Genomic DNA, 26,725 nt, shown 5'->3' with positions numbered 1-26,725 from the left:
TAACTGAATCCCCTGCCCCTCAGGGGGAGACCCAGCTCTCGGGGCCCTGCTGCAGCTTTGCAGCCTCCGCCCAGGAGCTTCCCACTCCCACAAAGCCTGTATCAGCCCAGGAAGTACCGCAGCACCCCTGGAACTGCCACTAAGCACAGATTTCTGTGCACCAGGAGACCCCTCCGGGCACCAGCACCATCAGCAGATGAAGCCCACACGAGGGGATCACAGAACGGAGCCGGCTCAGGCCCACCCCGGGAGCCCAGGAGCACAGCAAAGCGCCAACTGGCCCCTCCTGCATGACCACCTCACACCAGTGGGTTGGGGTGCAGGGCTCCACCAAACCCAGCTTCAGGTCTAGGTCCAACCTGGTGCCCTGGAACAATGACTCCACCCCGAGGCCCAGCTTCCTCCTCTGCAAAATGGGGCCACCATTTATTTATTTATTGCTTTCTAATGTGCTTATTTGCCTTAGACTGAGATTTAAAAATTAATTCCAGTTACAACCAAAGAAGGCCTTTCTGTGGAAGTGACATTTGATCAGACTCTTAAAATTCAGGTAGGATTCTCATAGGTAAAGATAGGAGGTAAAAGGTTTTACATAAAGGTGAATGACATGCATGTAAGTAGGAAAATAGGGAACTATAGGGAATAAGCAACAATTATAAGTCGTTCAGTGTGGATAAAATCATCTTACATGTGTATTTTTAAAATCTCGCCTCCTGTACCCTTCATTCTCCCATTCTACTTCCCAGTCACAGCATTTATTGCATTGAATTCACATAGTACAAATTTTTATTTACTGTAGTAAATTACTGTCAGGGCTGCTGGACAGACTGGGAAAACACACATACGGCCAGCAGTACAGCCAGCACTGGGTGGGCACACAGTGGGCTCCATGGGCATGCTAGGTAGACACACCAGGCTCACTGAGCGGGCACACTGGGTGGACACACAAGGCTCACTGGGCATGCTGGGTGGGAACACCGGGCGGGCACACCGGACTCACTGGGCTCACTGGGCACTCTGGGTGAGCACACAGCTCACTGGGAGTGCTGGGTAGGCTCACTGGGAGTGCTGGGTAGGCTCACTGGGAGTGCTGGGTAGGCTCACTGGGAGTGCTGGGTAGGCACACTGGGCTCACCGGGCGCACTGGGCAGGTGCGTTGGGCTTACTGGGAGTGCTGGGTGGGCTCCTCTGGCCTGCAGCTGGGCCGTGTCTCAGATGGGCTATGGGGGCACTGAGTCCCACCCCCAAAAGACACATGGGCGACTGTCTCCAGAGCTCATGGTCTGGAGGCCGGGATGCGGACACTGAGGAGATGGAGACTGACCTACGTCCACTGAGGCCACAACGGGGAAGGAAAAGCACAGGTCCTCGGGGGACCCCCCACGACCACCGCCTGACAGCCCCGCCCTCCCACATGACCACGCCCACATCCACAGCTGCTGGCAGCCCACCAAGGGCAGGGCAGGTCTCCGGGGACCCCAACACACAGAGGGCTTGGCAGAAGTAGGGATCAGAGAGGGCTGAGTGGCCAAGACAGCCTCCTGCAGTGGGGGTTCTCAGAAGAGAAACAGGGGACCATCAGGTCAGGGCCAGCCCAAGCCCAGGCTCTGTCATGAAGCTGGGCAGACTCCCTGAGGGAGGGGTCTACACTGCTCAGATGGCCCTGTGGGCTCTGGTCCTCGAGAATTTGCCCCCAGGGGGCCACCTGCAGGCTCCCCGGCTTCTCCTACCTCCCACCCCAAACAGAAGCTGGATCCAGGAAGTCAGGAAGGCGGCTGAGGAGCCCTCAGGGTGCTGGAACTGCCCTTCCCCACTCCTAGCAGGTGACAAGGGACAGGGAGGGCCACAGGCTCGGGATGCCCATGTCGCCTGCCTCGAGAAAACGCAGCCCAGCAAGACTGGCATGGAGGGGAATGGGGGGTAGCTGGGCTCTGAAGTTCACATCCTGTCTTCCTGTCCAGGTGGTCTTGGGCAGTGGGCCTGGCTCTCCAAGCCACACTCTTCTTCATCTGGAGATAAGGATGGCAGGCTCTCCACATAGGCACAGCCAGGATGAGCTGAGCTGTGCAGGCACAGAGCCTGGACAGATGACCTGGGCTCACATCCTGGCTGTGCCGGAGGCTGCCGTCTGCATGTTGCCCCACCCTCACTGAGGCAGGCCCCCCGGCCATCCCGGAGCTGCGCTCTCCATTTCCGAATCAGGAAGATTACACACCAGGACTGCCCTCTCTCCGGTCCTGCATCAGGAGGGTTACACACCAGGACTGTCCTCTCTCCGGTCCTGCATCAGGAGGGTTACACACCAGGACTGCCCTCTCTCCGGTCCTGCATCAGGAGGGTTACACACCAGGACTGTCCTCTCTCCGGTCCTGCATCAGGAGGGTTACACACCAGGACTGTCCTCTCTCCGGTCCTGCATCAGGAGGGTTACACACCAGGACTGTCCTCTCTCTGGTCCTGCATCAGGAGGGTTACACACCAGGACTGTCCTCTCTCCGGTCCTGCATCAGGAGGGTTACACACCAGGACCGTCTTCCAATTGCTATTTCGCAGTTGCTGGGCTTCCACCCCCACTTCCTCAATTCCATTTCCTTTCGCATTTTGGATACTTTCAGTGGGCCTTTAAATTGAATTCAGGGAGCGAATTTCACTGGCTAAAAGTCCCTGGGGACATATCAACATCAATCTGCTGTCTTTCACCATTAGATGCAACTTACATGGATGCCAATCCAATTCTGAGCAGGTCATAAATAAATACCTTTGGTTTTATTTTTAATCCACTTCGCTTCATATTATCATGACCTCGCTCCTTGCAAGGTGAGAAGCAGTACCCTCCCATTACGGTAACTCACCGACTCTACTGCACACTCAATTTCAGAATCTAATTTAGTCCGCCAGGTTCACTGGATGGAGGGAGAATAGAAATGCCCAGTTCTTCGCAGCCTGCAATGCTAAAGAAGGAAAAATCTATCTGGGTGACCTTTACGGGAGGAGAAGAACACAGCCAAACACATCCTTAAATACAGATTTCTTTTTTAAAAAGGCTTGTCTTATTTATGCACTAGGCCACGTCGTCTCCTGTCTGGGAAACGCGGCACATTTATTAGCCAAGAGCTGTTCTGCATCACCCACACCAGGCAGGCAGAGGGGCCACCACGGGCGAAGCCATCCCTCGGTCACATTCAGGGACATGGCTCTCCCAGCAATGACGGTGCTGCCTGTCCAGGAGGGCAGGTGGAGAGAGGCCTGCCCAGGGCCCAGCCCAGAAAACTATAGACGGCACTTGCATTTTCATTCTTAACTTTTCCATAAACAATTAATGGCCACATCTGTGGATCTAAAAGTTAAAGGAAGGCTCTGCTCATCACACTGATGCTGTAGAAGTCAAGGTCGCGTCAGGTCTGCAATCCGTCCCTCCCCCGGTCCCTGGGGCACCACCATCTCAACAAAGCCACAGCCAGAGGGCAGCGTGGAGTGCACCCTGCCTTTCTCCATCAGCCTGTGTGCCGAGAATCCTTCCAGTGGACACCGAGTGTCTGCAAGGGCCCTTTGTAAAGGCTGTGGGGTCTGTGATCAGTGAGGGATCAAAAGCAACAGAATCAGACTCTCGCTGCATGGCCTGGAGGTTGACGGTTCTCAGGCCTGACCACATGTCCATCAGCACCCAAGGAGCTCAAAAAAATGCCCCATTGTCCTGGCCCCAGCCCAAGCAACTGACCTGGGATCTGGGAGGTGGGGCCTGGGGAGAGGGATGTGTTGGTTCTCAGGATGGTGGGCGACTTGGGTGTGCCCTAGACACTCTCGGACACATCATGAATCACAAGAGTGGACAGAGTTGCTCACGCTTTCCACCAGGCAACCCCTGTTGAAGTTGAGGGCCGGTGGGGGTGGGGGTTGGCCCTACCCACACCACCCAGGCAGAAGTGGAGCCCTGACTCACACACCACCATGCAGGCAAAGGCATCTCTCTAAAACGTCAGTGAGTGGGACACAGGGTGGAGGTGGGAAGCCAAGCTGGGATGTTTCCAACAGTTTCCCCCCATGGACCACACAGCAGTGGACCACACTTAGACAGAAGCCGCCATGCCGCTCACTCCTGCCCCGGGCGGGTTCCAACAGGTGAGGCTCCCAATGCCGGAGGGCAGGTGAGGCTCCCGATGCCGAAGAGCAGACGAGGCTCCCAATGCTGAGGCTCCCGATGCCGAAGACCAGGTGAGGCTTCCGATGCTGAAGAGCAGGCGAGGCTCCTGACACTGAAGAGCAGATATCGCCATGGCTTTGGCTACTTCTTACCAAAAGGGTTTTATTTTTCCTGAGTCAAACGAATCCTAGTGCCATCCGTGGAGGACACTGACCTCCCCCGCGTGCCAGGCCTTCCCAGGAAGGGTGAGACGGTGACAAGCCCGTGTCCTAGGGCCCCAGGCTCCAGAACAGTGGGTGGGTGGGTGGGTGGTTGACTGCAGACCCTGGGTTCCTTCGAGACCCTGAGCTCTGAGTGGCTGGCCCAGGGCTGAGGCTCATGTGAGAACGGGCAGCAGCGAGGGAAGCAAGATCACTGGATTAGATGCGGGAGTGCTGGGCCCGAGCCCGCCCCCAATGCTGCCTGACCCCACGAGCACTGCAGATGCGTCCCTGCTGCTCTCCCCAGCATCTCCACCATCTACTTCAACAGGTCTGTGTGTCCCTATATCCCCAAAACCGAGCCCACAGCACTTGGCTGGGCAGTGAGTTCTCCCCAGCATCTCCACCACCTACTACTTCAACAGGTCTGTGTGTCCCTATATCCCCAAAACCGAGCCCACAGCACTTTGCTGGGCAGTGAGTTCTCCCCAGCATCTCCACCACCTACTACTTCAACAGGTCTGTGTGTCCCTATATCCCCAAAACCGAGCCCACAGCACTTTGCTGGGCAGTGAGTTCTCCCCAGCATCTCCACCACTACTTCAACAGGTCTGTGTGTCCCTATATCCCCAAAACTGAGCCCACAGCACTTTGCTGGGCAGTGAACGTCGCAGAGTCCGGTGAAGCAACTAAAAGCACATCTGAATGTGCCCCACGGCCACGTTCAAATCCCAGCCCTGCATTTATTAGCTACACAACCCTGGGCAAGTCTCATAACCCTCCATGCCTCAGTTTCCTCATCTGTAAAATGGGATAATAATAGTGATAGCAACAGGAGACAGACAAGTTCCTAGACAGACAGGGATGGGTCCCCAGTGAAACCTGACCTTCAAGCCAAGGATACTTTTAGAGCCTGAGCACCTAACTGCCAGTTCTGGATAGAGTCCACGACCGGAGTGAGAACTTCCATCCCCGTCTTACCCACTCTCTTTCAACTGGTTCCTTCTGAATGATGCCCTTTATCCAATCGAATGGTGCTTTTTCCAAGCCCATCCATGGACCTATCAGCATGCACTCCCCCATTCAAAGCCCATAAAAACCCTGGACTTACCCTCACAGATGGCCACCCTGCTTTCAGGTCTCTTCTTGCAGCTGAGAGCTTTCTTTCTGTTCCTCAGTAAAATTCTACTCTGCCTTACTCTCTGGCGTCCACGTACCTTATTCCTCTTGGCTGTGGGACAAGAACCCAGAACTTGCCAAACTGCGAGAGCAAAAGAGCTGTAATGCTTGCTGAGCTGTGGGCGGCAGGAGTAAAAGAGCTGTAACCCTCCCTCCCACTTGCCGAGTTATGGGAGCAAAGAAGCTGCTGGGTGCCACTCCTTCCCACTTGGTGAACCGCTGGAGTGAAAAAGCCAGAAAAATAATAACTCCCTTATTAGGTTGTTGAATGTGTGCAAAGTGCCTTCGGCAATGCTTGAATGGCTGGTTACACCTTCCACTACGGGGCTTCTGGTGCCCACGATGAGCCAGGCACATGAAGGTTCCCCGCTGTGCACCTGCCTGGGTGTTACCTGGGTGTTACCTTTCTGTGTGTATATGCAAATTCAAGGACATGCATTTGCATGAAGAACTCCAAAAGGACCATCAGCCAAAGACGAACGTGGTCATCGTTGGGAGAAAACGTGATGATTTATTTTTTACTTATCCATAAATTCTAATCTTTTCAAAATAAACATGCATTAGCTGTATACTAAACATAATTTTTAAAATAAAAGAAGTATAGGGTCTGCTCTGAGATCATGCTGGATCCTCCTTGTCCGGCTGGGCAGCTGCCAGGACAGTGCCCCGCCTGGTGCTGGAGCTCTGCTTACAAGGGTAGGGAGAAGGCCAGGTGCTGTGGGGCATCCCCCACACTGCAGCTAGAGCACCTGGAGCACCAGCTCCCACCTGTACCCCGGCCTCTCTCCTCCAGCAAATGGGCCTGAGGTCCAGGCCCTTCATGCCAGACCTTCTCACAGGCACTGCAGGTGTTCACTGGGTGACCACATGCCCAGGGCTGCCTCATGCCGGGCCCCACTCCAGGCACTGAGGACACTCAGCCCACAGCCCTGCAGGGCGTACATGTATGAGTGTGTGTGCCAGTAGGTCAGGCAACAGATGGAGAAATAAACAAGAAAAGAGACAGTGTCCAGCACTATGCAGAGAAGCGTAATGGAACCATGGGATGCAGGCTACCGCAGACTTCGCCTTCAAGGGCCATGAGTGGTGCGTCTGAAACAGGGCGGGTCTGTGCAGAACACACTCTAGACTTTGAATATTTATTAAGAACAAAAGAATGTAAACTATTTCTTTTATAATTTTTATATTGATTCTAGGTTCAAATGATAGTATTTTGGGTGTTGGTTAAATATTTTATTAAAATTAATGACACCTGCCTCTTTCTTTGTTTTCACGTTCCTATGTGGCTGGTGACACATTCCTTCTGGACAGCACTGTTCTAGGTATAAATCCTGCCTCCCTCCTCTGCCTGCTCCAGGCCAGGGTCTGCTGGCAGCACTGACCAGTGCTTCCCTCCCCTGGACCCTCTGTGCACACTGAAGATACCGGAAGGCTCCCCCAGGCAGCAGGAAGGGCTGTGCGTGCAGTGGCAAAACTCGTCAACACCTGCTCCCGGGCACAGCAGAGAGCACACAGAGGTCCACTTAAAAGCTACTCAAGTCAGAAGTTTACAAATTGCCAACATGCAAAGATGAATAAATTAATCACGATGGGGCTAAAAGGCCCATTTGCCTACTCTTGTTATTTTCTTCCCCTAACAGAGAAAGATGAAACAGGATTCACCACGGTGACATGCGACGCGGGGAGCAGGGTTAATTGGTTTAATTTGCTTTTCCACAGCCTCCTGACACTCCGCGTGTGCAGCCTGGTGAGAAACCCTAACCACAGCAGGTGCTGTGGAGTGCCAGCTGTCTGCAGTGGGGAGGCCCTGATGCCACCTGGGGAGGCCGCTGAGGACCCCCGGGGTCCGGGGGGCAGGGCAGCAGCATGACATTTCCCAGCAGGAGGCCCTCGGGCATTTCTCTTGACCCCTCCGTCTTTTAGGTGAGGAACCTGAGGAGCGGACAGGCTGGGCAACTTGTCCCAGGAGGCATGCAGCAAGCCCGGCAACCCTGTGGCACCCACACTGCAGTCCCATTCCCCATACCACTGTCGGGGGCAGTGGGGCGGGCGACATGCCTGCTCTAGAGCCAGGCAGGCGACATGCCTGCTCCAGAGCCCAGCAGGCTAGACCTGGCTCTCCAAGCACTGTCCCTGGAGGACAAGCCCCTGTCTATGAGATGGCGATGGCGAGGGGAGCCACCCCCAGGCGAGAGGGGCAGCGATACCCGTGCTGGTGCAAAGAGCTCCAGAAACTCGCCCTGTTGTTTCGTGCTCATCATGACCACTGCCCTCTATCTGCAAGAGTTGCAGGCACCTCCTGGGAGGTGGCAGAGGAGCCCTTCGCAGGTGCCATGAGGGCTGAAGGGGTCCGCGCACCCCCTGGAGCGAGACAGGCAAACACGAGTCACTCCCCTACCCCTGACACATCCTCCTCACCACAGGGCCCTGGCAATCACGAGCCCTGGCAATCACAGGGGACGACGGCCACACTTGACAGAGCAGGAGGAGGCCAGGAGGGCTGAGGCCAGAACAAGAACAAAGGCCCTGCCATGCCTGGACTCCACCCCCTGCCCTGTGGAGAGGCTGGAGTGAGCACCGGATAGGCCCCTCTCGGTCTCACTGGCCCCTCACTGTCACTCCTACTCCCGAAATGACAACAGTCTCCATGGACCACACATTACAGAGGTCAAAGATCGTTGATCCTACCCAAACCCCCGGGCCTTTCTGCAGACAGTGGAGCATTTGTATTCCTCCTGCGCAGGGGCTGCAGGGTCTGAATCCATATTCAACATGAAGTATCCGCTTCCGTGACGTACATGTGCAGAGGAAGGAATGGGACCAGCTGAGATGAAATCATGGCGAAAAGGTCCGCTGCTGTCAGCGCTGCCAGCGGAGCGACCCCAGTGAACTTCAGGCTGCAGAAGACCCGCAGATTGTGCTTGGCCCACTTCAAGTTCCTGAATGAGGCCATTTCCTTCCTCCCGTGTCTCCATTTGGGCTGGGAAATTCCTGACTCGACACTGACATTCAGCCTTAGGAAACAGGCCCAGGAACCCTCTGTGGCCGAGAGACCGCCAGTCTCCTCAGCAAGGGCAGGGGAGACCCAGCACTCGACACACAGGCCATGCCAAGGCACAGGCCGTCCCATGCCCCAGGCAGGCTGGGACCCTCGCCGAAAAACCTCCCTAGGAGGAGCTCAACCTGACACTCCCCAGGTCCTGCCTGTCCTTCACACTCAGGTGACGAGGGGCTGCCCTGGACATGCATAAGTGACAAGTGCCTCCAAATCAGTTCCCTAACAAGACCTGCTGAGAGTACACTGGGCTTGTCAAACAGGACTTCAAGCTGGTGACCGAGGCCACAGAGGCCCATGTCTAAGGAGCCGGCAGAGTGTGTGCCTTTTCCTGTACAAATGAGAACGGCCTGCGGGGAGGGGCTCCTGCTCCAGTGCACACCCTCTGTGACACGCAGCTTCACGTGGCTGGGCCAGCTTTGCCTCACCCTTGGCGCAGCCCACGGAGGCCTCGGGCTCATCTGAAGCCGGCTCAGACCTCCGCACAGCAGCGTCAGAGACACAGGGCTCAGCTCTGTTACCTGGCGCGGTGATGGCTGCTTCGTACAAGGAAAAGCATGGGCCTTGGAGGTGTTGCCACTGGAAAGAAGTACGGCCATCTTCCCAAGGTGGCCATGGGCTGCTCACAGCCTAATGATGAACTTGGTGCTGATATGTGCAGTTATCCTGGGACAGGCGACCCACTGGACTCTTGGCGTCCCAGTGCTCATGAACCCTGCTCAGTGGTGCAAGTGTGTGCATGAGGAAACGACCCCGTGGTGCAGGTGTCAGGACCGGGTGGCTTGAGATCCAGATGCCATGAGCCCCGGCTGCATGCAGGCACTGGTAGCACTGGCAGCACCGTGCTGTGCCCACCCCTCAGAGGCAGTGCCTGTCCCAGGCTCCTGCACAGAGGCCTGTGCTTTCCTTGCTTCCCTCCACCGCCCTTCCCTCCTACCCTCTGCCCTCTCCTGGCTGTTCAGGCTCCCACAGCAACCATGGCTGTCCCTTTCCCATTGCAACCTCACCCGTCTGCCTTCTGTGTAACTCCAGGTCACCTTTCAAGACTCCGTGAGGACTGAATCGCACACACCGACCCTACCACCTTCAGATGCACCTGTGCTCCAGGAGGCCCTGCCTGTCTCGACACTGCAACCAGGGACCTTTGGTTTCAGCCTCCTAAGAATGGCATTTAAAGGTTCAGAGACTATTGTGAGCAGGAATTATGGGGAGAGGGCAAGCAAGACAAATGGGGTCCCCAGAGAGGATGAGGATGAGTGCAGGCATTGGGAGGGGACCCATGGCCTCTGCCCTGGATGCCAGACAAAGAGGGGCTGTTTGCTCAGGGTGGGCCTCCCAAGCCTTCGATGGCCATGGTCCTCCTGTCCCTCTGTCTGGGTGGGGCAGCCAGGGGCCGGGCGGGGGGGCAGTGCTTGTTGGAAAAGGAACCACAGGGGAGGCAAACCTGCCCACCCTGGCCACTGGCACGCCTGCCTGGTCAGTGCCCACCTGGCCCAGGCCCAGCTCCACTTGCCCCGTCTCCTTTGGTCTCCGGGGCCAAAGGGTATTTCTAGGGAGCAGGGTTCCCACCTGAGGTGGGGTTCGCAGATTGGGCGTGGGCATGGTGTGGTCTGTAATTCTGAAACTTTCAGACACATGGTGTGTGCTTTAAATCCTGCTCGAGGGGAGGGCCTACATATCAAGACCACGAGGAAGTGCCTACACCGGGTCCGCAGTCCCACTCCCCCGACTCTCCCTGCACCGGGTCCACAGTCCCACTCCCCCGACTCTCCCTGCACTGGGTCCGCAGTCCCACTCCCCCGACTCTCCCTGCACCGGGTCCGCAGTCCCATTCCCACGACTCTCCCTGCACCGGGTCCGCAGTCCCATTCCCACGACTCTCCCTGCACCGGGTCCGCAGTCCCATTCCCACGACTCTCCCTGCACCGGGTCCACAGTCCCACTCCTCTGACTCTGCCTGGAGGACAATCTTGAGGCTTGGGGGAAGATGACTATAGAAAGGTGCTCATCTGTGCACTGTTGTTCACAGCCAAAGGAAGAAAGAAAACCTCGAAGCTGCCGAGGCCAATGGCTACATGTCCCTGGGCTATGCAGGAGGCTCGGTCAAGGGTACTGGAGAAGTGAGAGTCGTCTCTCCCCTCACACCACACGCCATGGCAACTCCACGGGGGCCTCAGTCAATGCCACGGGGACCTGAGATTGAACGCACAAAGTGAAAACATGACAGCACCAGGTGAAACATGCTGAGTCCTTCACCCCTCAGAGGCGGGAAAGCCTTGGGAACTATGACTCCCAGTCCAGGAGGAATACAAGACCGGTAAGTTCAATACACAAAACCTTAAAAAAAAAAAAAAACCTTTCAAATGAAAACTAACACCCGGTAGCTCTCATATATTTATATACACATAAAGGCAAAAGATAAATGAAAAAATGGAAGAAACACTTGTCATTTTTATTAGAAAGGAGGAAATGCTGGCATTCATATGGAAAGAGCTCTTGAAAGAGACAAACAGGTCAAAATCCTTAAAGGAACTGGCAAAATACAGGAACAGGAGAGGTGTCCGGAGCGAGGAGGCCCTGCAGTCCTTACACAATGCAAAGGCGCTCAGCGGTGCCAGAAGACGGGGCTTGCTACCACCCCGAAAAATGCAAGAGCGCCGGCAGCTCACTCTGGGGCTGGCTCAGTTATCCCCAGGGACATCTGGGCAACAGCTGAGGATGCTCGAAGGGCCCCTGGGTATTCGCGGACGCTAGAGAGCTCAAGCTCACACTGTCGGGTCCACAAGCCCACGGCACACACTTGCGCAGAAGGGCTTTCCCAGGAGCCACCTGGCTGGCACACAGGGTCCAGGCGCTGCCTCTGCCACTCATTTCCAGGTGTGCACCCAAGACGAGACACTCAGCCCCTTGCTCCAGGTCACTCAAGCAAACACAGCAAATGCTGCCAGCTGTTAAAACTAGGTGGTTGTCCCTGAATCATGCTTTCTGCCTCTCTGTATTTTAAACTTTTTCACAGTAACAGGTGAGAGGGAAAAAAAGCCAACTCTGCTAGTGTGTTGAAGGCAATTTTGGTCTATCCATGTAACGAAATGTTTATTTATTTAGCAGTTAAAAAATCTGTGGTTGAAAAAAACATAACGATGCTGGCAACTCCTGTGAGTGTAAAGGTTACTGAGAAGCAGAGGTGGCAGCCAGGCGGGAAGCCCAGTGCCCCCCATACCAAGAGACTCACGGCAGCAGGGTGGGCAGGAGATGGACCGCCCCCGACAGTCGCCAGCCTGGGAGGGAAAATAGCTGTCCTCCAGTTGTCGTCTTTCAATTTCTGTTTTCCATTTTTTTTTTCACAAGGGCATGTATTGAAAACATGATTTCAATTTCTAAAAGACAATCCAGGCACCGTCTCTTTCTAGAGGTTTCTCCTGGCAGTGCTCCCTCCCCAGCAGGGAGGTACACCTCCATGGTCACCTGGTGTCCCCAGGGCCAGCTGGGAGGCAGGGCCTGACCAGCATGTGCTGTGGCAGGTGGGCTGCCCCCCTTCTTCCCAGCACCCTGGAAACCTCAGTTTTTCTAGAACTGAGAAAGGCTCAGGGAGCAGCCAAGGCCCCCGGGGTCCCTCCTAAACCGCAGGAGGGTGGAAGACTGGCTAGGAGGTTCCTGGGGCTTGCTGGGCTCCACAGCGCCTGCGGGTCCTGAAGAGGAGGGTAGCTGGGGGGAGGGCATGGGGTGCCAGGGAATGACCCGCCTGGGATCTCCTGCCCGTTTTTATCATTTTCCCATGGGATACTCCTTCCCTTTGCCATCTCGGTCCCCGTGGCTTGGTCGTGTCAGGTGTCATGGAAAACTTAGTAAGAGAACAGGTCAAGGTGCAAATGATTCAAAGATTCAAATTTCAGACATTTAAAAATAGTGAGTCATGGCACGGCTCCAGCGAAGACCCCTGTACTTTCATATTCAATCCAGCATGTGGTCCGGGGTGAGGTAGAGAGGACGGGGCTGGGGAGGCGCAGGCCTAGACCTCCCACTGCCCCGGAGCCCAGGTGTCCACGTGGCCTGCAGGATGCCCTGGCCCTGTGCTTGGGGCTGCAGCTGCGTCAGCTACCGGCGGCCCTGTGAAGACCTCCACCCGCTGACCAGGACCAGGACGTTCCCTTCTCCCAGGCGGGTAGGATCAATGGGCCACATGATTCCAGGGGGACGGCAGAGCCTGGCCCCGGATCCCCAGTGAGCGGCAAGGGAGGGCCCCTCACACGGAACCTGAGAACTCTGCTGGGCACCCACCCTGTATCCTGACCACGTGCTCCAGCTCCACCCCACCCTGGCTCCTCGATCAGGCGGTGTCCACGTCCTGTCCACACGTGATTCCCAGCACTGAGTGTCTGCACGGGAAGCACAACCCAGGCTGTGTGAAGGAGAAGGAGCGGCGGGGAAACCAAGGAAGGGGTTGGGCGGCCCGGCCTCCCCTGCCCTTCCCCCACCCTCCTCCACCTCACGTGCTGAGTGTATGCAAGTCCTGTGTGTGTGGTGTGTGATGCACATGTGTGTATATGGTGTGCAGTGTGTGTGTGGGGTGTGTGTGAGTCACCTGTATGGTTTGTATGTGTGCTGTGTAGTTTTGTGATGTGCATGTGACACATGTATGTGGCACATGTGTGTGGTGTGGAGGATGTGTGCATGTATGGTGGGTGCACTATGTGAGGATGTTGTGTCTGTATGTGGAGTGTGGTGCGTGTGTGGGGGTTGTGTGCTGTGGGTGTATGTGGTGCATGTGTAGGGTCTGTGTGAGTGTGTGGTGTGGGTGTTTAGTGTGTATACATGATGAATGGTGTGCAGTGTTTGTGTAGTGTGCGTGTGTATATGTGGTGTGTGGTGCATGGCGTGTCTATGTGCATGTGTGTACTGTGTATATACGTGGTATGTGGTGCATGTGTGGTGTGTGTGTATAGTGTATGTACACATGGTGTGATACGTGTACATAACTGTGGTGTGTGTGTAGTGTGTGTGTAATGTGAGTATACATCGTGTGTGTGCTGTGTGTAAACATGGTGAGTATGCATGTCGTGTATGTGTTGTCTGTGTGTTTACATGGCATGTGGGTGTGGTGTCTGTGTGTATACATGCTGTGTGTTTGTATGGTGTCTGTGTGTATACATGGTGAGAGTGTGGTGTGTGGTGTGTCTGTGTGTATACATGAGTGTATGTGCTTTGTGTGAATACATGGTGTGTGTGTATACATGTGTGTGTATGTATACATGGTGTGTGTGGGGTGTGTAGTGTGTGTATACATGGTGTGTGTTGTCTGCGTGCATACATGGTATATTTTGTGTGTGGTGTCTGTGTGCATACATGGTGTATGGTGTGTGTGCGTGGTGTGTGTTGTGTGTGTAGTATCCGCACACATGGTGTGTGTGATGTGTGTACACAGTAACTGGTGTGTGTGTGTATATATGGTGAGGTGTTATCTGTGTGTATACATGGTGTGTGTTGTGTGTGGTGTCTGTGTATACATGGTGTGTGTGTATACATGGTGTGTGTGTGTGTATATATGGTGAGGTGTTATCTGTGTGCATACATGGTGTGTGTTGTGTGTGGTGTCTGTGTATACATGGTGTGTGTGTGTGTACATGGTGAGTGCATGTGATGTGTATTTATGTGGTAACTGTGGTGTGTGTGTGTGTGGCCTGGGGAGGGGACCTGCGCCTGCCTTGCCTCCTTTCTGGACGCAGGTCCTGCCCTGGCTGGTGGCTGCGGGACCCTGTGCAGGTGCCTCTGGCTGAGGCAGGATGGTGACACCAATGATGCTATCTTCCTGAGATGTGAGGCTCCGCTGCCCTGTCCCTTCCACAGGACGGGCCACCTGGCCGAAGAAACCAGAGCTGTGTGGTGTGTCCTCTGCAGGGGGTCCTGAGCAGGACGCAGCAGAGGCCCCATGCTGGGTCTGGCAGTTGGGCTCCCGGCCCTCCTCCCACACACAGGACTGGGAGGGCGGGCACAGCCTGCCCACGGGGCTGTGCAGAGGGTGGGCCGTGATCCATGTGTGAAGAACCTGTCGGGGCTGGGTATCCCAGGGCTTTTCAGATTGGGGGGGGAACTGCCCCCTACCCAGGACTGCTGCCTCTCTCCGCCCTCAGTGCCTCTCCTCTCCCCTTTCTTCTTTTTTTGTGTTCCTAAGAAGAAGTGCTCCACTCTCATCCAAGACGAATGACAGTGCTAAAGAACCCTCCTTTACAAACTCCTCTACCTGGGACTTTCTTAAGCACTTTATTGTTGCAGCTCTCAATGTGCTTAAGCGTCTGGGTCACGTAGAGCTGATCCTGCTAAGTTTCTAGTATGTCAACTGCAGAAGCATGCAAACGCTGAGTGCTGGTCGAGGCCATACTGGACCCCAGGTCAGGGAGGGGCTGGGTGCAGAACCCACACGAGCCAGAGCCTCAGCCTGACTCCTGGAGCTGCGGCGTCCTGGAAGGCCGTGGTGCTGGGTGAGACGCGCCCTCACAGATGCAGGGGTGGGGGTGCAAGGATGGCCGTAGGGGAAGCCCAGGCACGCCTGCCGGCTGGAGGGTGACGGGCAGCACAGGGAAGACCCAGTTAAGAGCCACGACGCCCATCCAGCCACCGAGCACCTGCCTGGAGTCCCCCAGTTACCCCTGCCTCACACCCAGCATGGCAGGGGTAACTGGCATCTCAGTAAAGAAAGAATGAGGGCTTGGGGGGTGGGTGACTTGTATAGATGCCCCCAACTCACAGCTGGGCCTCCAGACAGATCCCCACTGTCCTGGGCCACCATCTGGGCACCGGCCCTACCCAGCCCTTGGGAAGAGAAGGTGAGGCTGGGAGCTGAGCCACACCGCCTCACCAGCAGACTCGGAGCGAGGGTCAGCGAGCTGTGGAACCAGAACCGGAAAGGGCAACTGCACGGCCACACGGAGCTCACGACGGCACGCTCTGAAGCGAGGAGCCATGGGACGCACGTGTGGGAAGGGCCACCACAGCGCACCCGCCGTCCTGCGAGGCCAGGTGCAGAATGGGTAGGCAAGGTGGGAGAACCACATCCTGGCCCGTGCAGCGGCAAGGACACCTACAGCAGACCCCAGCCACAGCTTCAGTTCATCTAGACGGACACGTGCACACACCACAAACACACAAGTTCCAAGCCGCCAAATAATGAGAGATAACGTGTGCGGTGTCAGAGTCTGCAGTCACGAACTTGAATCACGAACACCAAAAAGAGATCGGGAAAGCGGCTGAGAGGTGCAGGATAGTGCAGCTCTGTCCCACAGGGCTTCACATGCCCGGAGTGGTTTCTCTCTCCAGGTGGGAGGAGCCGCGGACTACAGCACGTGTGCCACGGTGACTCTGCATGCTGCTCTCCCAGATGCTGAAATAATTCCTACGTGAAAAGAGCCAACACAGGAGCACTGCAAGGAGACGAATCACCCCCACAGGAGGCGCCTTGCACCCCCAGATGGCCACTCTGCATCCTGCATCACCTGCACACCGGGGGCACCCAGTGCCTGGCCACTGCCCCTCCATAGGGCCCAGTGCTGACATCTGTCCCTCTGGATGGGAATGGTACCAGGTGCAACCCACACTGATGCACAAGCAGCCCGGTGCCTTGGAAGCCTCCAAGGTTCATGGGACTGAAGACCATGGGGCTGTGGCCAGGACGACAGAAGGAGACGGCAAATGGGTGCAGCATGCAGACCCTGCTGAGCATCGGGTGGTCGGCGCGGGCAGCAGTGGCTCCCGGGTAGCAGCTGAGGGGCCGGAGAAGGGGAGGGCTGCCGGATGGCTACGCAGGCAAGTGCACTTACACGGATCCATCAGGTGACAGTGTGACCCAGCCCGGGGAGGGAGACTGTGCTGTGAGGGTAGAGAGGGACACCCCCAGGAGTGGACAGGAGAAGGGTGCAGGGAGGGGAGTTCTGACAGCCTCAGGCCCACCCTCACCTCCCCAGCCTGCCCCAGGTCCCTCTTCTGGTCGCCTCTGTGAGGCTGCCCATCCTGGTGTTCACTCCGGCCAGCCTCAAGCTAGGCATCGATCTAACAACTGTGAGGTGTCCTCCACACCCACCATGTCCGAGGGAGGAGACGGCCGCTCAAGAAGCCTAGCGACAGCTCAGGGTCAAGCAGCCGGCCCGTGGCAGGGCTGCCGCCTCCCCCATCAGCAGGGCTGCCCTCTCGAGCCACTGGACCTGACTACCATACAACCCTGTCTCTCGGAGAGGGTTACAGGGGCTGTCCCCACTAAATGTGTCCCTACTTGGCCCTGAAACTTAGAATGACATCTTCACGTGGAAGCCAGGAGCCTGAACTGCTGTCAGATAGTCCAGCCCCTGATTGGTCCCAGCCCAGACACTACCTGTCACCTTCCGCAGAGCCTGTGAAACCATGGGGTATGGGTTTTCTGTGGGCGGTCAACACTGACCAGCTTCTCCAAGAGATAAGAAGCCCTGCCTTCAGCCATCTGGGAGGACAGGAAACTCCACGTGGGGAGGGGGCTCACCAGCAGGGGGAGGGGCTGAGTGGGAGGCACTTGATGAACCCGGTGTCACACATAACACGACGCTGGGCACACACCACAGACGTAGGAGGGCCGTAGAGGTCCTGGTAGGAAAACTGCCTATGAAAAGTTCATCCTTATTTACCTTATTTTTAACCTTTCTATCACACTCAATGCCCTTTTAACTAGGAGATCAAAGAATACAGAATACCACCTGATACACAGAAGACAAGAAGGTAGCTCCGCACAGAAAGGTCAGGCTGCGCCCGTCCGCACCACCGCCCCTGAGGGTGGGCACTCGGGTGGGGGTCTGCGCTGGCGCCAGCCCATCCTCTGTCTTGTGAGCACAGGAGACCGTGGGAGAACGGCCGTGGTGTCTGGGAAGAGGGGCTTCCTTTGCCCCTTTGCAGGCTGCTGTGATGTCAAGTGTTACGCGTCCTCGCCGGCCCTCATGCCTTTGAGTTCTGTCAGTGACGATGCAACCATCTGCCCAACATGGTCACTGGTCCACAGTGGCCGGGCATCCCCAGGGCGGCTCCCACCTCCCTCCCTCTCTCCCACTCCCAGACCATCCTGGGAGCCCGGAGTGCAGGCTCTGATAGCCGATTTCTTTGACAATCCAGTTATTAGTTTGAAAATCTTGTGACGTTCTGGACCAAACCAGGGCTAAAAATAAAAAGACAGTGACAGCCAGCCGGGACAGGGTGGCAGCTGCCAGAGCTGGCCAGCCCGCCGGGAGGACAGCCCTGGGAAGGTGACACCTCAATACATCCGCCTTCCGAGGAGTCTCTCATGGCACAGCGATGTATACTGTCCTTGTAATTCATTTCATTTTTTTTTTTTCCAAAAAAGGAATTCTAAAGAGAAAAGCGCCTTTCAGTGCTGAAAACATGGGCTCGGCATGGAGCGTCCCCATCACGCTGCCCTTCCATTTCATCCCTAGGCACACGGCTGAGACTTCTGATCAACACACAGAGGACACTGCAAATCCTGGCGCAGCCCTTCGTCTTTTTCAGCCCGTGAAGACTTCCTGCCTTGCGGTGTTTGGGGCCAAGATGCTGTGGCCACGTCATCCCTGGAGATGCCGCTCAAGAAATGCCCAGCGGGCAGCAGGGAAGGACGCCCACTTCTAGAGGAGGCACCCTCAGTCAGGTGCTTATCTACAAGGCTCTTCCCACAGCGATCCCGAGTGAAAACGCCAGAGGACAAGGCCAGGTCTGCCAGGCTGCTTCTGCTCCTAAAGCAGAAATCACCAGGAGGGGGCCGCTGAGAGTGGGGAGGGGAAGAGCAGCCGTGTGGGCTGTGTTTCTGGCATCCCGGACCTTGGGCACATGTCCCAGAGCAGCCGCCATCACTCCCTGCCTAACAGAGCTGCCGTCTGAACTCGGACAGCTCCGGGCACATTGCCTGCTAAAGGCAACCGCTACCTGCTCCAGGGCAGGCTGACAGGACAGGCACTGCTGGGGTCCCCCAGCTTCCTGAGGGCTTCAGGGAGCCAGCCTGGCACGCTGTCGGGTTTGGGGCTGGGATGGACAGTGTCTGCACATTGCCAGCCCCATACTAGGTGATGTTTAAGGAAGGGGGAAAACTGCAGTCAAAGAGTCGTAATTTCAAGCGGGGGGGCATTTCCAGGCCATGACAGTGTCCCGCGCGTGACAAGTAAAGGCTGCAGCTACGGTCAGTCAGAGATGAAACCAAGCCAAACGTCACGACACAGAGCTCAGAGGGTGAGCAGGTCACTCATGGCTCAGACTCACTCAGCGCGTGGCAGGGCCATACCAGGACACTAGGAACAGCTCTCAAAAGCGCAGAGTGTGAGGAGGTGGGCTGGAGGGGAGGGTGACAGGGGCACACAGGACCGCCCTGCTCCGGGGACATGTCTGTTCCTCAACAGCAGGAAGGAGAAGTCATGGCCTGGAGACAGTGCTGGAGGCCCAGGAGGTCCCGGAGCTCCCCTGCTCCCGCCAGCCACGCGCCCTCTTCCTGGCCCTCCTCATCCACTCGCAGTCACAGCTACTCACATCTCCTCCTACTCTCTCACAGCCACTCACACCTCCTCCTACTCTCTGCCCACCCTCCCATGCCCAAGAGTGACTTCTGCGGACCTTCAGAGCCACAGGCCAGTCCAGTGTCCCCGGACCTCCCACAGGCTCTGTCCACTCCCCGCCTCCACACGGGACTCATCGTCACCCCTGTCAAGCTGCCTTTGCCCTTGTGGGTCTTTACCTTGATCTCTGGCGACAGCACTCGGCCAGTCACCCAATAAACAAATGCAGACATCGTCCCCAGTTTCTTCTCCTTCTTCTCTGACCTTGCCCTGTGCCCCCTCCCCCAGCCATTGCAATCTGTCACCACACCCTGCGGGTTCTAGGCACACCTCCTAGGCATCCTGCAAACGCACCTGCTTCCCGGCTCACTCCTGGGTGGTATCTCTCATCTTTCGCTTGCACGACGGCCACAGCTCCTCCCTTTTCCCTTGCCCGTCCACCTGCATGGCCGCCTCCTTACCTCTTTCCCCCTCGAACCCACCTCCCCCAGGCAGACCGGGCCCCCTTCTCTCACGCCTTTCTGCCTGCAGCCTCTCCTGGCCCCTGGGTCACCGCCCATGCTGTTTCCTCTGCTTGGAGCACCATGGCAGGGGCTGCCAAGTACCACTCAACAGCCATTCAGCCACCCTCCCCGTCTTTAGGAACAGAACTTTAATTTTCTTCATGAAAGGAGGCACAAGCCCTGCTAAAATACTGCATTTCCCGGGCTCCCTTGAAGTCAGATATGACCACATGACTCAGTTCATGAACGTGAGCTGCATTTGGAAGCAGTGGGTGGAATTCAGGAGAAGCTTATAGAGGAAGCTGTCTTGGCAGGGAAAGGTGCCTTTTATCCTCCTGCTGCCAGGCTGGACTATGGATGCAATGGCTGGAGTTTCAGCAGCCATCTCAGGCCACGAGGTGCCTCTGAGAATGGAAGCCACAGACAGCAGAGAAGACAGAAAGGAAACTGTGTTTCTGAAAGCACCGAGGCTGCTGTTCCAGCCTGGAACTGCCTGCCTCGGACCTCCTTTAATATCAGAATGAAATCGGCTGTGATTTTTTTTTTCCTTTTCTTGTCCTATTCAGTCAATCCTCGTTCCAATTAGCCCGAGTGCTTTTCTCCCACAGCTAACGCTCTCAGGGGGTCTCCCTTCCAGCAAGCTTCCCGTGACCCACCCTGGCATCCTGCGTCTCCCCCGAAGGGTCACAGACATCTGGACCCCGTCCCTCCTCTGCTCTGCCGCCACGGCCGATGCTTTCTCTCTCAGAGGCCCCGTGCCCGGGCCTGTAAAATGGGAAAACGCCACCTTTCTCATCACGAGAGTTAAATGAGATGACAAATATAAATGGGCCAAGCACACTCAGTAAATACTAGTTCCATCTCATAAGCAAGGAGAGCCACCAAGAGTGGCCCTAAGTGTGGCTTTGGGACTTAGAAGCGACAGAGAGCGCAACTGCGACAGCCTCGTCAGGACCAGCTACGTGGGGGGTTGTGGCCGGCCAGAAACTCTCTAGTGAATGTGCCTGTGGGCTGAGGGGTCACCATCCCATGGAAGCGGGGAGCAGCTGAGATGCCATGACCAGCCACCGACGCCCGCCAGCCACAAGCAGAGGAGGAACCCACTTCGGCCTGGGGACCCTGAGCTTGCGCTGATCTGACACGGTGCCCCCAGGGGCCAGGGGGGGAACCCCGTAGGAGGCTGCGGTGGTTTCTCACCCAGGGAAGAGGAATCCACTGCGCTGACCCAGTCTGGATTTTTGAACCCATTGTTTTGAACGCATGACTGAGAGATATAACCTTGTATTGGTCAACCCAACCTGAGGACAAAAAGATCTGCTTCCCAACATTAGTAACAATTTATCTCAGAGCACTTAACCAGGAAGCAATAGGTCTTCAGAATAAAAAGAGAACCGTGGAGCCCTAGGACCGGGTTCTAGTCAGATACACGCAGGAGAGTGGGTGAGGTCCAGGCAGGCAGACAGCCCAGAGGAACCCTCACACGGGCTGCCACCAGCAGAGTAAGGCCCAGACCACGGCCGCACACGCTCCTATGCACACGGCCCTCTGCAGTGGGCCCTTCTATCTTCAGAAGCTGAGACCCCAGAGGTGACATTGCTGGCCCCATCAGCTTGAAAAGTGCAGGTCACTGGGCTGCACTGCCACGTCCACACCGCGAAGGGGTCCTCCCCGTCCCCTGGGTGACGCTGCTCTTTCCCGACAGGCCGGCATGGTGGCTTTATGCTCTCCGTTCCCCCAGGGGTCTTCTTCAACCCCAGAGCAGACGCAGGGCTTCCAGGAGAGTAAGGTCACTGGTGACCACACAGGTCTGAAAGAGCTTCAGGGGAAATGACTCATGGAACCTCCCTGAGCCCCACAGGAAGAAGCCCTGGCTCAGCAGCCAGCACAGCCCAGTGCTCAGGACCCCCAGTGAGGCCCCCTGGAGAGGGGCCACGAGGGAGCCCAGGTACCAGAGCCTCTCCCAGCCATGGACCAAGCTTCCAAGGCTACCTTTAAACATGTAGCAATATTGATTTTCAAGTTGATTTCATAGATTCACTAGCAAAATGATCTTTTTCCTTGTAATATACATTGTGAAAATTATTCAATTTCCCGAGTTGTTCAAGTCTGCGTTCTCACATTGATTTTTCTGCTGCCTGGGAGGGCAGGAGGAAGGCATGCAGTGGGGCTGCGATCTGGAAAGGTCGGTTCTGCGTGAGTGCGCCGGGAAGCCGCTGGCCTGCCTCACCCGGGAAGGTGGAGAGTACACGGGTGGGCGCTGAGTGTCACACAGAACCCCACACCACGCAGCGTTTAAAAGTGTGTTCAGATCAACAGTCTGGTGAGGCTCTGGGCCCGCACAGCCAGGCTCGCAGGAATCTGCACGAACCCAGCAGGTCTAGGTCCCTTTCCTTTAAGCGGAGCGGGTTGCTCCCCACGCAGCTCACAGGCCCCTCAGCCTCTGAGGGGCCACAGCGGATCCCACATCCTCTCTGAGACCCCATGGCCCCAGCATCACAGCAGGAAGAGCAAGGCCATCAGTCACGCCAGGTGCCTGAGGCAGAAGCACAAGGCCTCTGTGCTGGCCACACAGCCACATGCACGCCACGTGAGGGCCACAGAGTTCCCACGGAAGGAAGAGAATGGCACCATCATTCAGCAGGGTGGTGGGGGCGGAGGTCTCTAGCTATCTGGTCCCAAGGGAGGGTCACACGCACGGGAGCCCCGTGGGTGCAGGGGACGATGCTGGGGGTGGGAGTGGGGCACTTGGTGACCCACAGAGAAGGGTCTGGCTCAGAAGGGGGCTGGGGAGACCGCGTACTGGCCTTGAGCTAGCGCTGCAGCCCACCAGCCCATGCCAGGCTCTTGTGGAGCTGTGGCACACGTGCTTGTGGCCCACAAGTGGGCAAGCCAACGAGCAGACAGCTCGGCGAGAAGGCCCAGGCACCCAGGTGCAGAGGCGGCTCGGCAGAAGTACCGTGGCACAGGGACTCCGGTGCCACCCAGCAAGCCCGGCCACCCAGACCGCCTCAGGTGTACGCGGGCTCGAGAGCTGTTCTAGACGGAACTGGGACACTCCTGGAGCAGAGATGGGAGCACACAGGGTGAGTCCTGGGTCACGTGTTTGCGGACTTTTGAGATGTCCAAAAGATGAACTCGGGGGGCCTCAGAGGCCGGCTCCAAGCTGCCTGGAGCCCTCGCCACCCCACTGTGAGTGCAGCCAGGAGGGCCGCCCACTCCCCAGTGCCCTCCAAATCTGACTTCTGGTTGGCAGTATTTGGTTCCTGCTTTGCCTGAATGGGCGTGGCGGTGCTCCGGACTGTGGCTGCCACTGATCTCAGGGGCGTTTACAGTGCACCAGTGACTGTGCCCCGTGCCGCGTGGGGCCCTTCGCTATCCTTTCCTCATGGACTCTAACAGGCTTGGAGAAATGCAGTCCACTCATTTTATAGACAGGAACAGTAAGACCAGAGGGGCTAATCCCAGCCCCTGGCCCATCTGCTCCTGGTGCACAGGCCCAGCCCCGCTGCCCCTGAGGAGTCAGTGCTGTGGGGTTTCTGCTATGGGAGAGGAGGCCCCTCCTCTCTGAAGGGGTTCATCTGAGGCTGAGGATGGGATTCATACCCCAGAGAGACCAGAGATGAGGGCTAGGCCAAAAGGCCCAAGGCATCCCATTAAGGTGGAGGTGACAATCACCCCAGTCCACAACGAGTAAGACACATCATCAGGAAACCTTCCCAAGAGGACATCACATCCTCCAAAGAACAAGCCTCTAAAAACCCAAGAGCCTCAGCCATCTCGGCCCCAGTGCCAGCCCCTTCTTCCAGAACCTTCCTCCCTGACTCGCCACTGCGGGTACCTCCCTGCAGCCCTGCCGGCTCTGCCATCCTTCCGGCCTCTGTGAGCTCCCGGGGCAGGGCTGGTGGCCTTGGTCGTGTCCCTTCCCCACTAGTCCTCACAAAGCTGCCCACCTGGGCGGGGGAGTGGTCCCATCACAACTCTGTCCCGCCCACCTCCTCCAGCCTTCTCGGCAGCCAGCCTGGCCTGTGGCCGTGGGGGTGGCACGCTGTATACACGGGAGAGCTTTTTCTTTGGAAGAACTAACAATGCAGCCAAGTGCAGGGATAAATACTGTGTGGCATTTTGCTAAACGTCTCATTAAGCTCCTATTTTTAGAAGGTTTTGAAAGCCATTTGAGGGAAATAAATGGAGGCCGCACAGGATGCCACGGAGCAGATGTGAGCGTCCGTGATTCCTGCCGCCGCCGGGCCGTGAGCTCACCTCCACAGGCCAGCAGAGCCTGTCCCCCAACCACGACATGTCACGGACACATCTGCGGTCCAGCCCTGACTGCAGCTCTGGAAGGGCCCCCGAGCCATGTGACCCCAGCCCCAGGGGACTGGACCAACAACGGGCACCAATCACTCGGCGGCCAGTGACAAATGCCAGCTTCCTTCCTCCACTCCCACACTTACTCTCTCCCTTATCTCTGCCTACTCGTCCACTCACACCCATAACCTGCATGAAGGGACACATGGGAAGCCGTGGCCCCCTAGAACCGGCATGAAGGGACACATGGGAAGCCGTGGCCCCCTAGAACCTGCATGAAGGGACACATGGGAAGCTGTGGCTAGGCGGGAGCACAGCCAGGAGGTGGCAAGGCTGGGTCAGGTACTGGGTCCCTGAAGCACAGGCAGGCACTGCAAGAGAAATCCCCAAGTGAAAGACCCCAGGAGAGGAACCCAGGGGAGAGAGGGACCCCAGGAGAAGAACCCAGAGGAGGGAGGGACCCCAGGAGAGGACCCAGGGGAGGGAGGGACCCCAGGAGAGGAACTCAGGGGAGGGAGGGACCCCAGGAGAGGAACGGACCCCAGGAGAGGAACCCAGGGGAGGGAGGGACCCCAGGAGAGGAATCCTGGGAGAAGGGCCCCAGGAGAGGAGCCCAAGAGAGAGGGACCCCAGGAAAGGAACCCCGGGGGAGGGACTCCAGGGAGGGGACTCTGTTCAGGCCCTTGAGACGCACCCAACTCCAGGGTCTCAAGCGATTCCGAGTGGGCATTTGTTCTCTCAACCAAGATCACCAAACTCTCTTAGGCACATCCTCCTTTTTAGGATTTCTATTTTTAAAATCCAACTGTTCTTTTCTCGTGCCATATAGTCTCTCTTCTCTGCTTCTGTTTTTTTTTTTTTTTACATCTTTTGGGTTTCTCTGGAATTCCTCGTCCAGCGGCTGCAGAGGTCCCTGTGTTGGGAGGTGCCTCTCTCTGTGACAGGTTTTCCCCAGACGTTGTCACTATGGCAGGAGCACACCTGCCGGGGGCACTTTATCCACGGGAATCCCACCTGTCCGATGGGGTGGTGGCCTCTCGGGGCTGGTTTTTTAAAATTTATTTTGCCTCTGTTGAGATGCTTCATTTTTCATCAGTTCAGACCAGCTTTGTTTTGTGCTTTGACTCTGGTCTCCATCCCACCCTGAGGCACCTCTGGGATCAAGGGCCTGTGAGAGTCTCTTCCCTGGCACTGTCCTAGGAGGAAGGAGGAGCCTGGTGGGGAGCTTCCCCAGCCCTCCCAGGAGCAGCACAGCCTCACAGACTAGAGGGTCCCAGCTTCATGCCAAGCCCTCAGTGGCCTCCACTTCCCATCCTTCCCCAGGCTGGGCCTCCGGCCTCTGCCCAGGACCGACAGCCTAGCTCCCCGCTGGCTCTGAGTCCCATCCTCCCTCCTGGCCACTGGGCACAGCTCCCCGCAGACAGTGCAGCCAGGCCACCTGTGCTCACTGCTGGACCCGCTCCTACCCTTAAGGACAGACCAGGAGCCCTGCGGCGGGGCTCACTCCCAGCCCGGCCCTGTCCCACCACATCAGAACTGCCAGAAACGCAAATGCTCTGTGTGCGACCAACGTATGGATGGAAGAAGGCCAAATGCAGCCCGGATGGAAACAGCAGGGCGCACCTATGCCCCAAGGCCTCTCTGAGGGCACTATGTGTGACCCCTGGGTCCTCACGATGTCCCAGGAGGTGGGTGCAGAACGTGTGTGTGTTGGAGGACCGCAGCCCCCTGGGGAGCCCTCCGACAGACCACCACATGCTATATACCAGGCCGGCAGCAGGATCCACTCAAGGTCAAGTCAGCAAAACACACCCACTTGAGCCTTACACATCTGTTATTAAAAGGTAACAGGAGTCACAGAAATGGTTTTTACGAGAACAAAACACCTTTTACGGGGAGGAATATTTAATCTCTGGCATTGCCTGTGCTTGGCAACTGATTATAGCAAAAGCAGACCGACTCCGAGTTGGTTTAGTATTGCTCCTTAGCCCTCTGCAGGTGGCGGAGCCCTCCCTTGTCTCCTTGTTGGCCCCGTGATGGACAGTGCCCGCCACCCGCCGAGGCCTGACCTGGCTGGAGCCGCTGCTCCTCCCTCGCCCTTCTGGACTCAGGCTGGGCGGCTGGCTGCCTTCCTTCTGCGCAGCGGCCCTTCCCTCTCACCTGACGCTGTGTCTTCCCACTCTCCCCAACCATGTCAGTGCAATCTCCATGTAACTGCCACTCTCATGGGCCAGCCGGTGGGCTGTGGTATTTTTCAAATGAACGGGTGAATTAATGAATGAATGTGTGTCATCCAAAAGGGTGGAGGTTTCCGGGTGGGCAGACAGCCCTCTCCTAGCCTCTTGACCTGTGTCAGAGCCGCCTCTGCAGCTAGACGACAGAGGAGGGAACAAGGTCTGTGGGAAGATCCCCCAGCCCTGGCGTCCCATCCTCCAGATGAGGAGACCTCCTGTGTCCCGGCAGGCAAAGCCTTCCCACCGCCCCATCAAGAAAGGGCCACCGAGTCATGGACCACATATCAGGAAGAACCATCTCGCTGCCTGTCCTGTAACACAGTCTAAATCAATTCCTGCAGCCCACTCTGAAAGCTAATCCAATTTGATTATCTCTGGATGATTACAGAGCGGCATCGGTGCCGGCTGCCTGGGGTGGAGATTGAGTTGTGCCATGGGTGGTGAGGACATTAGAGATAACAGTTGCCAATGCTTTCTTGGCCTGGCCCAAAGGAGCCACGGGTCTGGGCTTTCTCTCTTCGGGAATAAAGCTTATAGATTTTTTTCTAACGTCTCTTC

General features: G+C 56.8%; 1 protein-coding gene across 7 annotated transcripts in view, besides 3 other annotated features; it reads right to left on the bottom strand.

Moving 5' to 3' along the window:
- Positions 1-26,725, bottom strand: part of TBC1D22A (TBC1 domain family member 22A) — a 413,050-nt gene that overhangs the window by 2,567 nt on the left and 383,758 nt on the right.
- Positions 1,380-1,879: an enhancer, noted in NCBI's record as "H3K4me1 hESC enhancer chr22:47566897-47567396 (GRCh37/hg19 assembly coordinates)". NCBI's record gives its function as "activates a minimal SCP1, AML or CMV promoter by ChIP-STARR-seq in naive H9 embryonic stem cells {active_cell/tissue: H9 hESC(naive)}" and the evidence as "EXISTENCE:reporter gene assay evidence [ECO:0000049][PMID:30033119]".
- Positions 7,700-8,277: an enhancer, noted in NCBI's record as "H3K4me1 hESC enhancer chr22:47560499-47561076 (GRCh37/hg19 assembly coordinates)". NCBI's record gives its function as "activates a minimal SCP1, AML or CMV promoter by ChIP-STARR-seq in naive H9 embryonic stem cells {active_cell/tissue: H9 hESC(naive)}" and the evidence as "EXISTENCE:reporter gene assay evidence [ECO:0000049][PMID:30033119]".
- Positions 17,375-18,574: an enhancer, noted in NCBI's record as "BRD4-independent group 4 enhancer chr22:47550202-47551401 (GRCh37/hg19 assembly coordinates)". NCBI's record gives its function as "activates an origin of replication core promoter dependent on BRD2, P300/CBP, MED14 and CDK7 cofactors, and independent of BRD4, by STARR-seq in HCT116 cells {active_cell/tissue: HCT116}" and the evidence as "EXISTENCE:reporter gene assay evidence [ECO:0000049][PMID:35650434]".

This window comes from Homo sapiens, chromosome 22 (assembly GCF_000001405.40).
Source record: "Homo sapiens chromosome 22, GRCh38.p14 Primary Assembly".
NCBI lineage: Eukaryota > Metazoa > Chordata > Mammalia > Primates > Hominidae > Homo > Homo sapiens.
This window is presented reverse-complemented; position numbering and strand designations above follow the sequence as displayed.